Raw genomic sequence first — 17,918 nt, 5'->3', positions numbered from 1 at the left:
CAAATTTAAAATAAACAATGCATCTTTTTATTCCTTTTAACTATAGAGCTGCTGCTGCCTCACTCGTCTTCCCCACTAAGAGTCAGGGTTTACCAGTTTATCTCCTCAGTGTCTATTCCTATCTTTCTCCTCCTTGCCATTGCTGTTGTCATGAAAATAAAAGCAAAAAAAAAAAAGGCACTAAAATAGCCAGTTTACAGGAATGAGATCCAAAGGCGAACTATATTTTAGCAATATTCCTACCAGAGAATTACTACAACTCAGTGCCCCTTAGCCATTTTCAAGTGAACAAACCAGTCTCCAAACAAAACATATGAAATGAAATCTATGAGAACGTATCAGTCAGTTTGAGGTAGGTTATGCTGTCATAATAAACCCTCAAACATTCTCAGTTTCTTACAATAGCAGAGGTTGATTTCTCACCCAACTTTGCCATTTCATCATGGGTCAGCTGTGGCTTTGCTCCATGAGTCTTTATATCAAGCTCTAGACTGATGAAGTAGCCCATAACTGGAATATTTCTCATTTTGTGGGAAAAGTAAAAGAACTGCAAGTAAAACACCAAGCAAAGACTCTTGCTTGTTCAGAAGATACACCCATCATTTTCACTCATTGGCCATTTCACTTTACTGCAATTCAGATAGCCAGGCCTAACATCAACTCCTTCCTTAGTGGGGAGTAGCAAATATTTTAAACAATAGAGTTTAGTATGGTAAATCATATTAATGACATAAATATAAATTGCTCTACCACATCAAAGTAGAAGTAATATCATATTACTTTGTATATCACCAATGATTCAATTCCCCAAATCAATGACTTAGACTTTCTACCAATTTTGGTACATCGGATCCTTGAGTTAGGTCTACTTTTATTTACATTAAATCCTGACTGATAATCGAAGATCACAGCTCAATAGCACAGGGTGTAACTTCCAGAGAAAACAGCTGCCTGACAACTATGGGGTAAGACCTCTCTGTCTAGCACTGTTGATCTCCCTAGGGTCCTACAAGCCCAACTAGCCACTGCCTATCCAGTGTGGTGCATTCAAAGTCAGACAACTCTGCTGTCAGTTTCACTCTCTATGGCAAGCTTACATATAGGGGACATTAAGACTCACAAGACAATACCCAGGTTACAGATATACAGGTGGCCAAATATTCTTGTGATTCAGCTACTTCTAAGGTGTTGTTTTTAAGCAGGTTCAAGTCTACTAGTGTACCTATAGAACTTGATAGTGTGATCTTCCAACTTTGAGAAACACAGTATCACAGAAAAAGTAGCAACACTCTTCACCCCTTGTAGCACTATACCTTTATGTCTCTGGAATAGCACCTCTTAATTTTCAATGAAACTTGTAGTAGATGCTGTGGTATACCACTCAAATCCCCCTTCAGGATTAAGATGCTCATTCTCCCAGCCACAAGTGGGGTTGGCTACTAATGGCTAGCATCTGTGTCCATATACAAGCATTGCCTTTGGCTAAAGAAAGCCACAAATGATACTTTTCCTCCCCAGAACAATCCACATTCAGTAACTGATTGATGTGCTAGTACAAAATTCTGGCCCTTTACCTAAATCAGGAAATTTCTGAAGGATCATTCTTAGGTTTTTAGTTCCCCATGAGATTAGCTGAAGCTGCTATTGCAACTGAATTGCCACTCAGTTTCTCCCAAGTTCCATTCTGCATTCATTGTTTCCTCAAATGTGTGGATCTAGAGAGCACTTCCAATAAACATACTGCATGAAAATTCCAATGTTTCAGGGTCTGTTTCCCATGGAACCTGATCTGCAACAGTTGATACTGGAATTGACCCCACAAAGCAGACTCTAAAATGGATGCTTAATCTGGATCACTCCCTGACCAGCTGGCAAAGAAGACTTCATCATTGGTGGTAAGAGGAGTATAGATTCCCCCTGGTTTGCTGTAGTGCTGCAATCATTAAAAACTTTCATGGGCCATGAACTAATTGGGAAGGGAATGCACTATCAAGTGCAATATATGAGGCATTTTAGAAGTATACGGGAAGTAGTTATTATATGGATTATAGAATAGTTGGCTGTTGCTGGGTATACTCACTGCATTGAGGAAATCAATGGAAGTCTGAGGATCATTAATCACTAATTTAAGACAAAACATGAAGCCAGAGGCTCTCCTTGACAACATATAAAGAGACTCTTATCTCCTGCAGGCAGTGAGAAGACAAAATGACGATCTGGTCTAGATCTTAATTGTAGTGAAAGAGTAAAAGAACTCCAAAAAGAGTTGAATTCTCAACCTCAACAAGTCTACTTCAAGATCAGGGCTTGATTGAGAAACAGTCAACCAAGACACATGGAATGAGGACATCTGGGTCAAGGCACTCAAAAATCTTGAATGCCTTGATCCATCTAAGATTTGTGGGCCTGCAAAAATAGCCTGCCCACTACTTTGTGTTAAAGACACTCATCCCTGAGGAGTATGAGTCCTGGTCATCATTTCCTTCTTAGTCCATAGCTAATGGCTCACTCACCATCAAAACTGGGCAGTACAGTACAATGAGATTTCCCCCAGTGAATCAGCACACATTCTTTCCTGCCCCTTGTAAAATCAGCCTTACCTCCTCCTGGTGATTATGGTCAACTATGTCTGCCAGGATAATGACTCCTTTCCTTGCCTCCTCTTTTCTTGGTGTGGGCCTGAAATGTCTGGTCAGTAGCCATAGCTTTATTAGTATTTTTGCAGCATCCCCTGACAGAAATGCTTCCACTCTAGTAACCAGGACCCCCAAACTTGTAGAACCTTCCTCACTTGCAGAACAGGAAGCACAAATTCCCTAAGTGGACACTGGGAGTGAAAGTAAGTGCAACTACTCCTACTTAGACTCCTGGGTTTCCAAAGTCCATAGATTCTACCTTTTGGTTCATTGCCGGACATTGTGCCAGGTAATGGTCATTAATTTAGGGTATATACTGCAGTCTGAGAAATGCCATCCTATTCTTACAAGATATCATCTCCATACTGGCTCCTCAGCTGCATCCTAAGCTATTTTTTCCATTGGTCAAGCCATCAGGTTCTGAGTGATGTGGTAGGTAATAGGAACAGTGAATCTCATAGCCATATGCCTATGGCCACATCTCTTTTGCTGTTACATCAGTCCCTTGGTCTGGGATAATGTTACGATGAAATACTCTTTGTGTTCAAAGATCTTGCTGCTGGCTGAGGCCCTAAATAGAAAAAAAAAACTCATGCCTACAGTATCTCTCAATTAGAGTCACAGTGGATCACTGTTCCTTCCATGGTAGAAGTGGTCTCATGTTATTGTTGCTACCAAGTTACTATTTTATTTCCTCAAGGGATGAGACCATGTCCGGGGCCTAGCACTAATCTTTCTTGCTGGCAGGTTGGGAATATGGTGGCAGCAGAAGCTAATTAAAATTGGTGAGCAGGAGCCCGTGCTGTTGGGACCATACATACCCTCCACCCCTGCCATCATGGCTACTCCTTCAAGTCCCCAAGCACATGAGTAACCACTGACATAAGTTGGTTGATGTTAACCAAGTCACTCTGCCTACTTAGCTATTAACTCACTTCTGCAACACAAAGATCTTCACCTTTCATGCCAACTACTTTAAGTCCTCCTACATGCATCTTCCCCAGATCTCTTTTTCCCTGATCTTTCCATCTTTCTCCTGCTAGGCCTCTGAATAACCAACAAAGCCATCTTCTATTGCCCATGAATTAGGGCCTTTAGTAAGCCATCTTGACCTTTATTAAGCCTTAGTAAGATTTAGTAATCTCACCCTTTAGTAAACCATCTCGACCAAAAGACGTGCTAACCAAGGGTGAGGAATTTCTAAAAATGAGTATTAGAAGAGTGAGATGATGACTGTCCGTGGGATTGTCAAGATCATCTCTAGCTGCAGGAGCTGTAGTTTATCCCACTAATTTTCCTTTTATAAGTTTCTCCAGGAAAGAAACAGAAAAGAATCCTGGAGAAGCTCTTTCACAAGTGATATGAATTTACTATACAAAGTGAGTCCAAGTGGCACAAACCAAGTGGATCAAAACCAAGGCATGCATTTCCCTAGATACTGGAAATGTGGTTGCTACCATAGGCTCACAGTTGTATTCTGTTTGGGAATTACACTTGCTAATGGAATCTGCTTTGGTCAAGATGGCATTCACTCTACAGATTACCCAGGCAGGGGCACAATGTCCTGGTCTCTTTGCCACAGTTTGGGACTTCTCTGAAAGACCATCCCAGCTACAGAGTTTCTCCTGTTATTGAGACTGGTGTTGTAACTGTATCACTATTCAACTTTTCCCAGTGACAGTCCTGCTTTCTATGCCCCTTTACAGGTGTTCCCAAGAGCATTCTCCAATAAACCTTCTGCATACAAATGTTACAGTCTTGGAGTCTGTTTCCCAGGGTACTCTACCAATGACAAGCCTAGGCTGTTTAACAACGGCCTCTTTTGCGATAATCTACTTCTCATTTGTAATCTCTTCTTTCCATTCTTGACATAAATGGAAGATTTCTGAAAGCCAAGGTCACATATCAATAGTTAAATTTTCAGCAAATTGTACCCATATCCACTCCTTCTGGAGCAGAGGAATTCGAGTCCTAAATTGGTAGTGTTCAAAAGGGCCCCATGGTGGCTTAGGCTAATTCCAAGTAAGACAGCTTGCTAACTCAGCAACAACCAAAAAAATATATATCTTAAGAATGTCTAAGAAATTGGCCACTGGCCAAGAAGAAACAAATCTCATACATCAAGAATATAACCAAGCTGGGCCAGAAACTTCACAATAGAACCCTAAAAGTCAGCAAAATAGTCCAACAGAGGCCGGGCGCAGTGGCTCACACCTGTAATCCCAGCACTTTGAGAGGCCAAGGTGGGTGGATTACGAGGTCACGAGATTGAGACCATCCTGGCTAACACGGTGAAACCTTGTCCCTACTAAAAATACAAAAAAAAATTAGCCAGGTGTGGTGGTGAGCACCTGTAGTCCCAACTACTCGGGAGGCTGAGGCAGGAGAATGGTGTGACCCGGGAAGCGGAGTTTGCAGTGAGCCGACATCACACCACTGCACTCCAGCCTGGGCAACACAGTGAGACTCCATCTCAAAAAAAAAAAAAAAAAAAAAAAAAAAATTGTCCAACAGAGTCATTATAAATAGGGGCTTACCAGAGGGGGCTGGCTACAATATCAGTGAAAAGCCAACGTCACTGATGAATATGAACGGGGACTGACTTGTATAATTGACTTTGAGCTACAGAGGAGAAAAACTGGAAATTTTCTTGGAACAAATTCAAACACAAAAATGAACACAGAGTTTCAATCTGTTGGACTGATTTCTGACTTGTCCTTCTTAACCACTAAAAACGTCAATCTCTTCACGCTGCCAAGTTGACAATGCAAGTATCCAACTGTAGGAAGTAAACATGGAAAGAAAAAGAAACGAAACTTTATTTGATTTGCTTTTTTTTCCTTTTCCACATATTAATGAACTGATAGCAATCTTCCTTTTAACGTTGCTACTCGACGGATAAATGTTTTCTGATGGTTATAACTTCTAAAGCATATCATCTGACATTATTTTATAGGATATATTGAGTGTATAGCTAAGCTCAGTGATGTTTTAAATTTGTATACTCTTGTGCAGAAATCACCCAGATAAAAATATAGAGCCATCACACTAGAGAGCTGTCTCATGCCTCTTTCCAGCCAACAGTGTAACACCCACCTTCCATCCACTGAAGGTAAGAATTTTCTAAAGTCTGTCAATCCCTCTTTTAAAAGAAATCAAATCAAATCCAGAACCACTGTTCCTAAGATCTGGGTTCTCCTTACCATGGTTTGGGGTAGAGAGAGAGAAAAAGGGTAGACGGGGCTGAGGAATAAAAGTTTGAATACGCTTCTATGAAAGAAAAACTAGGAAAAGCTCCCATTTCTTCTTCCTGAGTCTACAGCAGTAAGAAACACACCCAAGTTAATTTTTTTTTCTTTTTTGGAGACAGTCTTGCTCTGTTGCCCAGGCTGGAGTGCAGTGGCATGATCTCGGCTCACTGCAAGCTCCGCCTCCTGGGTTCACGCCATTCTCCTGCCTCAGCCTCTGGAGTAGCTGGGACTACAGGCACCTGCCACCACACCTGGCTATTTCTTTGTATTTTTTAGTGCAGACGGGGTTTTACCGTGTTATCCAGGATGGTTTCAATCTCCTGACCTCGTGATCTGCCCGCCTCAGCCTCCCAAAGTGCTGGGATTACAGGCATGAGCCACCACGCCTGGCCTAATTCTTAAAGAATGATCCTATTTCATTAAATTTTTATCAAGACAGCAAACTATCTTGCTGTATTATATTTCGTTTCTTCATGAAATGAACAAAAAATACATCCACCAAGTTAAACAACAGAAAATAATTAGCCAGGCTTGATGGTTCACACATGTAATCTCAGCACTTAGGGAGGTTGAGGCAGGTGAATCACTTGAGTCCAGGAGTTCAAGACCAGCCTGGCCTAACCAACACAGTGAAACCCCATCTCTACTAAAAATACAAAAATTACCCAGGGTTGGTGGTGGCCACCTGTAATCCCACCTACTCAAGAGGCTGAGGCAGGAGAATCACTTGAACCTGAGAAGTGGAGGTTTCAATGAGCAGAGATGGTGCCACTGCATTCCAGCCTGAGCAACGGAGCAAGACTGTCAGAAAGAAAAAGATAAAGAGAAAAAAGAGAAGAGAGAAAAGAGAAAGGAGAAAAAAGAGAAAAAGAAAAAAGAAAGAGAAAAGAAAGAAAAAGAAAAGAGAAAAAGAAAGAGAAAAAAAGAAAAAGAAAAAGAGAAAGAAAAAGAGAAAGAAAAAGAGAAAAAGAGAAAGAAAAAGAGAAAAAGAGAAAGAAAAAGAGAAAAAAGAGAAAGAAAAAGAGAAAAAAGAGAAAGAAAAGAAAAAGAAAAAGAGAAAGAAAAAGAAAAGAGAAAGAAAAAAGAACAAAGAAAGAAAAGAAAAAAGAAAAAGAAAAAGAGAAAGAAAAAGGCAGCAAGGAGAGGAAAGGCAGCAAGGAGAGGAAAGGCAGCAAGGAGAGGAAAGGCAGCAAGGAGAGGAGAGGCAGCAAGGAGAGAAGCAAAGGAAGGATTTCAAAAGAAAAATCTTAGCTTTGTAAAAGAAACAAATATGTCAACAATAGCAAAACTTGTGCATTCGGTGAGGACTCAAATACCATCATATAAGCTAAATGAAGTTGCATCACTTTCAGCTTATTTTCTGAGTGGTTAACTAGAATTAGTTGTGTAATCACAGGACAAAAGAAAGCTTAACCTTTAAAAGCACATGCTATAGCTTATAAAAGGTCATGGATTAGAGTGTGAACATATCACTTGAATTCGTCCCTGGTGTATTGGAAAAAGAGGTAGAGAAGGGAAAGGAAGTAGGGGTGAAGAAGAGTTGACAAACATACTTCAAGGCAAGTTTGTACCAACTTCCTACCAAAAAAGCATAAATACAATAATATATACATTTATATATTAACATAAAAATATATATTATACAGACATATATATATAAAGTATATATATGTGCGTATATAAAGTATATACAAAATACTTCTCATTTTCTTCCTCAAAGCTATGACACTTTCCATTCCATCTCCTACTGGAGACATGCCCTGATGTCTCACCTGGACAGTCCATTGCTTCTTTCTTATTCTGTGACTCTCTCTGTCCAAGCTATTCTCTTTCCCAAAACTTCAGAGGTAGCTGAGTTTGAGACCAGCCTGGGCTACATGGAGAAACCCTGTCTCTACTAAAAATATAAAAATTAGCCCGGTGTGGTGGCGTGCGCCTGTAATCCCAGCTAACTCGAGAGGCTGAGGCATGGGAGGCAAGGCTAAGAATACTGTCTGCTACCCTAATGGAAATTATTAGCACCATGATAAAATTCTCCAACCCTTATTTCTTTCTATTTCCAAATTACGGAAGTTCTCTGGGGAACTCCCATCAGAATCACCTTGCTTTTCAGCCCAGGCCTTGCCTTTTGTGTCTTTCTTCAAGAATCTGGAATATTTATTTTCACGAAGAATAGGAAGGTCCTCATATATTTCCCTCATACATTCCATTTCCTTTTGTTGTAAGTTGGGTTCCCAAAGAAGCAGACTCTTCTTTAGAGTTTAGTATTCGGTATGTTTTTTAGGGAGTGCTCATGGGATCAACACAGGTAGAAGAAAGGGTAAGAAAGCTAGAGTGGACAGAGGGAGAAGTTGAACTCACCAGCAGCCTCAGCCACCTGGAGTTCTGGAGGGAGCTCAGGAGAGGGAAAGACCTGGCAGAGCTGTCCCAAGTTGAGCCAAAATGGCTTGGTCTTCATACTCTCACCTCGATTCATCACTGAATGTAGGCCACCTGCATTAGTCAGGGTTCTCCAGAGAAACAGAACAGAATGTATACCTACACGTATGCTATATATACAGAAAAAGAGATACAGAGATTTAATTTAAGGAATCGATTACTTTATTGCAGATGCTGGCAAAATCCAAAATCTCCCAGTTGGTTTGCAGGCTGGAGACCCAGGAAAGGGTTACGGTTTGAGTTGAAAGACTATTTGTTGGAAAAAATCCCTCCTTCTTCCAGGGAGGTCACTCTTTCTAAGGGTTTCAACTGATTGGATGAGATTCACATTATAATGGGTAATCTGCTTTACTCAAGGTCTAGTTAATCTCATCTTAAAAAAAATATCTTCAGAAACAGAATATTAGACCAAATATCTGAGTACCATGGGCTAGCCACGTTGACATATAAAAATTAACCATCATATCACCCAGAAAGAGACACGACGTTGAGAAGGGTGGCTCTTTATGGCTGAGACAATCCCTGAAAGGGCTGACAGCTGAAAAGTCTGCTGACAGCACTCCCAGCAGCTGGGGCAACGAGTCCTTCCTCCAAGTGAGACCTGGAGAGTGCATGCCTGTGTTCATCACTCAGATGAAGTTGACTAAATGTATTCAACAATTAAATTTACAATTTTAAAACCTTTTCAACGTATGTTTCAAAGCAAAGTTTTTGTTTGTTTGCTTTGAGACAGTCTCACCATGCCGTGTAGGCTGGAGTGCAATTGCGTGATCTCAGCTCACTGCAACCTCCACCTGCTAGGTTCAAGTGATTCCCATGCCTCAGCTTCTCCAGTTAGCTGGGATTACAGGTGCACTCCACCACACTAGGCTAATTTTTATATTTTTAGTAGAGACAGGGTTTCTCCACATAGCCCAGGCTGGTCTCAAACTCCTAGCCTCAATGATCTGCCCACCTCGGCCTCCCAAAGTGCTGGGATTACAGACTTGAGCCACCGCGCCCAGCCTTCAAAGCAAAGTTTAATAAACATATATGAAGATATAGAAATTAAGCATACATATGCCTTTTTGTTCAAAAGAAGTGATTAGGTAGAAGTGTTTTAAATATCTGAAATTTTTATTTATATATGCAGTAAGCCACAGTGTCGTGTCTTGTGTCGATGCTACACAGCACAGTTACCAGCACTCATCCACCGAGCCTCCCCCTTAGAGCTAGCTTACATCTTTTATCTCTTTCAGAGCCAGATACAGTAGCTTTTTAAGGTGGCTGGGGTGAAAAGGGGAAAATAGACAATTTAGAGAAACTTATTCTGTAACATACATAATTATTTGATAATAGCTCCTGAAGTCAACTAGTGACTATTGTTTAAGAATAACTTGTCAGAGTTCAGAACAGAAACACAAATCTATAGAGAGCCTATTTTCTATCTCACTCATTTTCTGTTTTTCTCCATATCGTACATTCATTGCCCAGCAATGAACATACTATACAGAGAGAGCCAATTAAATATTTACTGAAGTTTCTGGAGGAAAGAGAGAGGGAAAAACAATCAGTATGGGGAAAAGTGAGATTTCTACAGCCACCCTGAGGATAGTCAGATGACAGAGATAAGCCTTGTTGGCAGCATTTGAACCTCTGAATAAAAAAACAAAGTTAATCCTAAATTTTTCAGTTCTTTAAGTCTATGATTTTTTTCTATTTTGTACTTTTCATGAGATGTATCATACAAAAGAGATGCTAAGATACATGTGATATTTAAAGACAATTATAAAGCAAACACCAATGTAACCACAAATTAAGGCAAGAAATAGAATATTACCAGCACCTCAGAAGGCACCTAAGTGCTTCTCCCACCTGCCTATGCACAACCAGTTGCTTTGACTTTTCATTATTTCTTCTGTGTTGCATAGTTTTTGTTTCCCTTCCAGATCTACTGGCCATCCTTTACCTTACTGTATACGCCAGTAAAACAAAGTTTATGAATTATATTGACAGATTCTCTCTTGTCCTCTGGTTTCTAGTTGAGTGGGACCAAGAAGAGGTACCGGAGGAAGATTAGAAAGGGGGCAGGAAATGTTTTTGTCACCCCAGTTTAGAGCAATGTCTGACAGCAGCTAAGTCTCTTTTTGGTTTGCAGCTCCTGAAAGGCACAGCCCCTCCCTCTGTGATTCCCGTGCTGTCATGGTTCTATCTTCTATCTGAACAACTCAGCATCTGGTCTCTGGTAATAGTACCTTCTTCCTACATCCCTCCAGCCTACGGAGGTCCAGCTGTCGCTAATCTCTGGTAAAGTCCACTATCCCCTCTTTGGCTTAACTATTCTGTCGCCCATGTAATCATTTCCCTGCATTTAATTGCCCTATCAAAATACCTAGAATGGTTTTCTTTTTCCTGACTGGACTATGAAATTAAGAGAAAAATTAAAATGCTTTCTACAACATCAAAGCTTTCAACATTTGATCACCAATATGTTAATCAGGATAAGGAAGTTTCTCCTATTTATGGTTTGTTTTCCAGTTTTTTACTTGTGGTAAAATGCACATAACATAAAATTTACCATTAACATAAGATTTACCATTTTAACTACTTCTAAGTATATAGTTCAGTGGTGTTAAATACATTCATAATGTTGTGCAACCATCACTTCCTCCCATCTCCAGAATTCTCTTCATCTTGTAAAACTGAAACTGACTCCATAATCATTGAACTCATTTCTCCCTCCCCCTGGCAACTACTATTCTACTTTGTCTCTACGATTTTGACTACTCTAAGTGCCTCATATAAGTGGAATCACATAGTATTTGTCTTTTTGTGACTACCTTATTTAGCACAATGTCCTAGAGGTTTATCTATGTTTTCACATGTCAGAATTTCTGAATATTCCATTATGTTTATACCACATTTTTGTTTGTCCATTCATCTGTTGATGAGCACTTATGTTGCTTTCACATTTTAGCTTGTGAATAATGCTTCTATGAAGATGAGTATACAAAATATCTCTTTGAGACCTTGCTTTCAATTCTTTTAGGTATATATGGAGAAGTGGTAATTCTATTTTTAATTTTTTTAGGAACTGTCGTGCTATTTTCCATAGCGGCTATATTATTTTACACTCCCACCAATAGTGCATAAGTGTTTCAATTTCTTCACGTCTTCACCAACATTTGTTTTCTGTTTGTGATAGCAGCCATCCTAATGGATATAAAGTAGTATCTCATTATAGTTTTAATTTGCATTTTTCTAATAATTAGTTATACCAAGTACCTTTTCATATGCTTACTGGCCATTTGTTTATTTTCTGGGTTTTGTTTTTTTTTTGTTGTTTTTGAGACAGTTTCACTCTTGTTGCCCAGGCTGGAGTGCAATGGCACGATCTCAGCTCACTGCAACATCCGCCTCCCAGGTTCAAGTGATTCTCCTGCCTCAACCTTCCCGAGTAGCTGGAATTATAGGCATGTGCCACCACACCCAGCTAATTTTGTATTTTTAGTAGAGATGGGGTTTCTCCATGTTGGTCAGGCTGGTCTCGAACTCCCGACCTCCAGTGACCCGCCCGCCTCAGCCTCGCAAATTGCCAGGATTACAGGCGTGAGCCACCACGCTCGGCCTGGCCATTTTTATGTTTTCTTTAGAGAAATGTCTATTGAAATTTTTGCCCATTTTTTAATCAGGTTGTTTGGTTTTAGTTGAGTTTTAGAGGTTCTCTATACTGAATATTAATCCCTCTCAGACATGATTTGCAAATATTTTCTCCCCTTCTCTGGGTTATCTTTTTACTCAATTACTGTTATAGATTTTTTAAAGTTTTTATCATGAATAGATGCTGAATTCTATATTTTACTATGTCTATTGAGATTTTCATATGATTTTTTTTCTCCTTTAATCTGTTAATAGAGCAAATTACATTAGTATTCTGTTTTCCCCCAAAGAATACTAGGGGAATTGAAAGGGAAATGAAGTGATAAGGAAATGAAACAGGAGAATAGCCTGTCCAAGGATGCCCTGGAGGCAATAGAGAATACGCTATACAAGGATGCCCTATCAAGTTGGCCACCTCTAAGGGTAACTGATGCTCAATCCCATTGAGCATTCTGAGAAGCCTGATGAATTTACATCCACTGAGGGGATGAAAGGACCAAGTATTTATCAATCCTCCAAAGGGGACCTCTCATTGGAAAAAATGCCACCCAAAATATTAACTCCTTCACTTTCATGTGGTACAAGATGAGTGCCAGTAGGTTCCCACAAGCACCTCACATTGAAGCGTCAGAAAAAAATCAGGAAGCAAGAAAAAATATCCAAGGCTGAGGTGAGGTGCTGTCAGGTTGCAGCTATGCAAATATGATTAAAGCCTGTGTGGCACTGTCTCCCTAACAACGGTTGGAGTAAAAGGTAGGGCCAGAGGATTTGAAGTAGTGCACAAAAGATGTTTGATGTTAAATCAATATTAAATGTTTAAACCTTACTTTCTCATTACATATTTATCTTTTCTATAAATTTCTATTTATATTGTGTTCTTATTCCATTTCTCTTAATTTTTTTCTCATCCTTAATAGGTGGTATCAAGGTTATTCTGACAGTATAAAAATAATTGGGGAAGTAACATATTTATTTCCCAAAAGAGTTTTAGGTTGAAAATATTTCTTCTGGAATGGTTAAGAACTCACTGATGAATATATATGATTTGGAATTTTCTTTGGTTTTAATGATGGTTTCAGTTCCTTTAATCATTAGGTAATTATGTTTTCTATTTCTTCTTGGGTTTTTTTTTTTTTGGTAAGTTGATTTTTTAACAGAAATATTTTCATTCTTCTAAATTTTCAAAGTTAGTGGCATAAATCTTTTAAGAACTAGAGGATCTGTAGTGATGTTCCTTTAATCATTTCCGATACCATTAGTTATGCTTTCTCCCTTTGGAAAATAATTCTAATAAGGTCAGTCATGAAACAAATTATGGAACTTTTAAATCCTCTCTATTATGTTCATCTTCTATTTCGGCAATATTTACTCTTAACCTTATTTATATCTTCTCGATTTTTAGGTTGGTTTGACTATTTTAATTTTTTAAACTTTTCTTGGAGTTTAGGTAAAAAGATGTATTAATTATAAACCTTGTGTCATGACGCTATTTTATATACTCTATTTGTCCTGCTTTTTCTATATCTTTTTTCCCTCTTTTCTTCTTTTGAATTATTTTTCCTTTTTCCATTTTTCTGTCAACTAGTTTGTACTTCTTTCCATTTCTGTTCTTTTAGTGGTATCCTAAAAATTGCATGTATCTTCTCATAGCATATTAATCTGTATTTTTTTTTTTTGAGATAAGTCTTGCTCTGTCACCCAGGCTGGAGTGCAGTGGTACAATCTTGGCTCACTGCAACCTCTGCCTCCTGGGTTCAAGCAATTCATCTGTCTCAGCCTCCCAAGTAGCTGGGATTATAAGCATGCACCACCACACCCAGCTAATTTTTGTATTCTTAGTAGAGACAGGGTTTCACCATGTTGGCCAGGCTGGTCTCAAACTCCTGACCTCAAGTGATCCACCTGCCTTGGTCTCCCAAAGTGCTGGGATTACAGGCATGAGCTACTGCACCCAGCCTCCCTTCTCCTTTTTACTCAACTCTTTTGTTATTGCCATCATGTACTTTGATTCTATATTTTAACCCAATTAAACGTTAGTAAATTTAAGTAATATTGTGTAAAACTAACATTTCACTTTTTTGGTCTTATTTCTTTCAATAACAAATTGTCAATATGGAATTATTTTTCTTCCACCTGACTTTCGAAACTCTTTTGTCAGGGACTGCTGATATGAACTGTCAGGGTCTTTGCTTGTCTGAAAATATCTTTATTTTGCCTTTATTCTTTTTTCTTTTCTATTTCACCTTCATTCTTGAAAGGCATATTTGAAGGTATAGTATTTTGGAAGATATATTTTTCAACTTATTATGGATCACATTCCATTGAATGTGATTATTGTTATCATTGAGGAGAAAGCCTACTAACTACCACTCATTGGAATTAATCTTTTTTTCTGCCTGAAGATTTTGTTTGCCTCTAGTTCTCTGTGGGTTCACCATGAGTCTAGAGCTTAGTTTCTTTTTATTTATTATGCTTTGGGTTCTTTGGGCTATTTGTGTCTTAGTTTTCTGGAATTGATGAAAGATTCCAAACGTATCAACTGCTATCTCTTTAAATATCAACTCTTCCTCACTCTGTCTCTCCTCTCCTTTTGGGGCTCTAACTAGAAGTATGTTACAATTTTTAACTCTATGCCTTAAGCCTCTACTGCCCTCACGTGTGCTTTCCATTTTTTGTCTCTGTGTTGCACTTCGGAAAATTTCTTTTGACCTGTCCTCCAGTTCTAGTATTCTAGTAATGAGAACATTAGTATGTTCTCATTCATTACCCAAGTTTCATCTGCTATTAGGCCCATCCACTCAGTTTTTTCATCAGTTTTACTGTGATGTAATTTATCATTCACTGAGCTTTAAATTCAGGCTATTAAATTTTTTATTTCCTAAAGTTCTATTTGGTTTACTTACAAGCTTGTCACTTTTTATAGTTTGATTCATCCTTAGATTTTCAAATCTGTCTACTTTGTTGTTTTATAATCAGTGTTTATTAATTCTAATATCTTTCATTTCTGTGGGTCTGTTTCTGCTGTTGCTATTGTAGCAGATGCTGTCTGTGCCTCACACCTACCCCTCAGACCTTTCCATGTGCTCTGGCTGACTCAACTGCCAACATCTGTACTCTGTACCTGGTGGCCCTTTTTGTCAGAACCACTGCAAGCTGTGTTACCAATCTGTGTGGCTGCCTACAAGTGCCAAGGAATTCACAATATCAATCCCCACACTGGAGTAACCATCAACCAAATAATGAACCGCAAGTGGCATATAAAGGTAAACTGCCTCACCTTTCAGGTGGTATTGAGATGTGGGTTTTATACTACACTTCCTAGAGTTTACTCGTGTGTCTATTTTTGTTGTTGTTGTTGTTGTTGTTTGTTTTTTGAGACGGTTTCACTCTTGTTGCCCAGGCTAGAGTGCAATGGCATGATCTCAGCTCACCATAACCTCTGCCTCCCGGGTTCAAGTGATTCTCCTGCCTCAGCCTCCCTAGTAGCTAGGATTGCAGACACGTGTCACCATGCCCAGTTAATTTTGTATTTTTAGTAGAGATGGGTTTTCTCCATGTTGGTCAGGCTGGTCTTGAACTCTGGACCTCAGGTGATCCGCCCACCTTGGCCTCCCAAAGTGCTGGGATTACAAGCGTGAGCCACTATGTCTGGCCGTGTCTATTAAGTTCTAACTACTCACTTTTGGTTTTATTAGCTGCCTCCCTGTATCACTTCTCCATTTCCTGGTTAGTGTCATCTGCATTTCCCAAATAAGACATGTACTCATAACCCTATCTGGGAGACTGCTACAGTGAAAACCAAAATTAAGATAGTTTCTTGTTTGCTTGTGTGCTTAGTTACCCAGAACTGTAAGTTTGTCATTTAACTTGGACATTTTCTGAGGAACTTCTTTCAGGGCCTAGGACATATATACATTTATCCAAATATTTGAATTTGCTTCTGCCAATCTCCAACTATTTTCTGGATCAAAGTGATGCAAATTTAAGCTAGCAATTCACTTAAGGGCCAGCCAGTATATTGTTCAAACTTCTCATTGCCTTTTAACTCCCTGCTCTGCTCAGTACAAAAGTAAATTTCCCTGCAGTCCCCTGGGAGTAGAGATCTACTAAAGATTTAATTCTGGATCTCCTTTACACTGAAGAGTGATGTTTTGAATCTCAGCTTTATTGAGGGAGGGTCTCTCATTAGGTGCCCCATCTTGGGGAAATGCCATCTTTTGTGATTTGATAAATGTTATTTGTCAAAACAAGATTTAATGTTCAATTTACCTCTCTGGGCTCCCACCTTTTTGATATTAACTGTATGATTTCTCACTATCATGGCATCTCTAACACTTTTTAGAAAATGTAGTTAATCCAGCATTTTTACTTGCTTTAAGTGGAAAGGTCAGTTTAAATACCTAACTATACATATTATCAGAAATTGAGTTCTATTCCCCTTTGTGGACAGCCAACTTGAGATAGGTTTCCCATCACTTGCACATGAGAAAGTCCTAATACATTCAGATAAGGAGATGTGACTACTCTTGCATCCAAATGATGTGCTAAAATGACTGGCTAAGTGTAGAAGCGATGCTACATTTTTGTCACTTGATCATTCCTTGAAGCAAAACTTCTCAGAACTTGAAGTATATTGTTTCTCTAGTATATTCTGTGCACATGTTTCTGTCACTTTGTGAGTATTACTGGGTTATATTATCAATTCCATCTAACTATATAAGCCATAAAGACCCTCGGGACTATGAACCAGACTCATTCATTCATTATTCAGTCAAAAAATATCTTTTTATTATGTTTTGTACAGTCACTAAAAATACAATGACAAAAGCAGCCCTGGTCCCTGCACTCATGTAGGTCACATACAGATGAGTAAAACAGACATAATAAAACAATCACATAAGAAAATGCATAGACATGTTGCTATGAAGTGCTATGAGAGTGTATAATATCGGAAAGTGTCCTAGCAGGCAAGTCAGGAAAGGCTTCTAAGGAAGCAGCAATTGAAGTTGTTAGCTTTGATGGAAAACATTTGACTTTTTTAAAGGAATTAAAATTTTAAAAAATTCTGAATTATTTAAAAAAAAAAAACAATTTTTGCACATGCGGGTCCCTAGACTGATTAAGCTGGAAACCAAGGAAATTCTTTTAACTCCTGTCCATATCAATAAACTCTATACGGGATGCTTTCTAACCACAGGGTCATGCCCTAACTATAAGCATTCATCTTATTAAAAATATCCATGTTATCCTAGTATTTTTTATTTTAGGTGAAATATAATTGGCCACAAGTTATTTACTAGCCAAGCTTAAGAAACTGGCTTAATTGGAGAACTCAAGGAACCTCTTGTTGTAATTATACCTGAAACACTAATATGTGGTGAGCATTATTTTTTGGACATATTTTTCAATGAAGTGTTTAAGATTTATGGGGTCATTTTTTGTGATTATTTCTGATGTTTTCAGACTATATTTACCATTTTCAGAAGTCAAAACAGCAGCTCTAACTCACTAAATCATTCCTGCACCTCTCATAATTCACTCTGCAGGGCACTAACTGAACCAGAACCATTCTGTGTTTTCATCTGCAAAGAAAGATCTACGAAGTAGAAAACTTTCAGTATTTGAGCCAAAGTAGGGCAATTCAATTTTTTATAAAAGTCACCTTGAATTTTCCAGTCTCCCAATATATCATTTCTCCTCACTTCACCAAACTCTCTAATTCTGTAGAAATTCACTTTAAGAGGTGCATTTTAAAATAAACATTTAAAATATCCCAGCTTTTTTTCTTCATATTAATCCTATAAGCTTAAAAATGTAATTTACCTAAATCAAGACTTAATTCCCAACTGTGACTATTCCATTGATAAATGCTTTTATTATGTTAGACACATAGCATGCAGTACAATTCCAAAATAAACTATGCAATACTGTCAGCTGTCTAAAATTTAAGACA

This window comes from Homo sapiens, chromosome 15 (genome assembly GCF_000001405.40).
Source record: "Homo sapiens chromosome 15, GRCh38.p14 Primary Assembly".
NCBI lineage: Eukaryota > Metazoa > Chordata > Mammalia > Primates > Hominidae > Homo > Homo sapiens.
Note: the sequence above shows the minus strand (reverse complement) of the source record.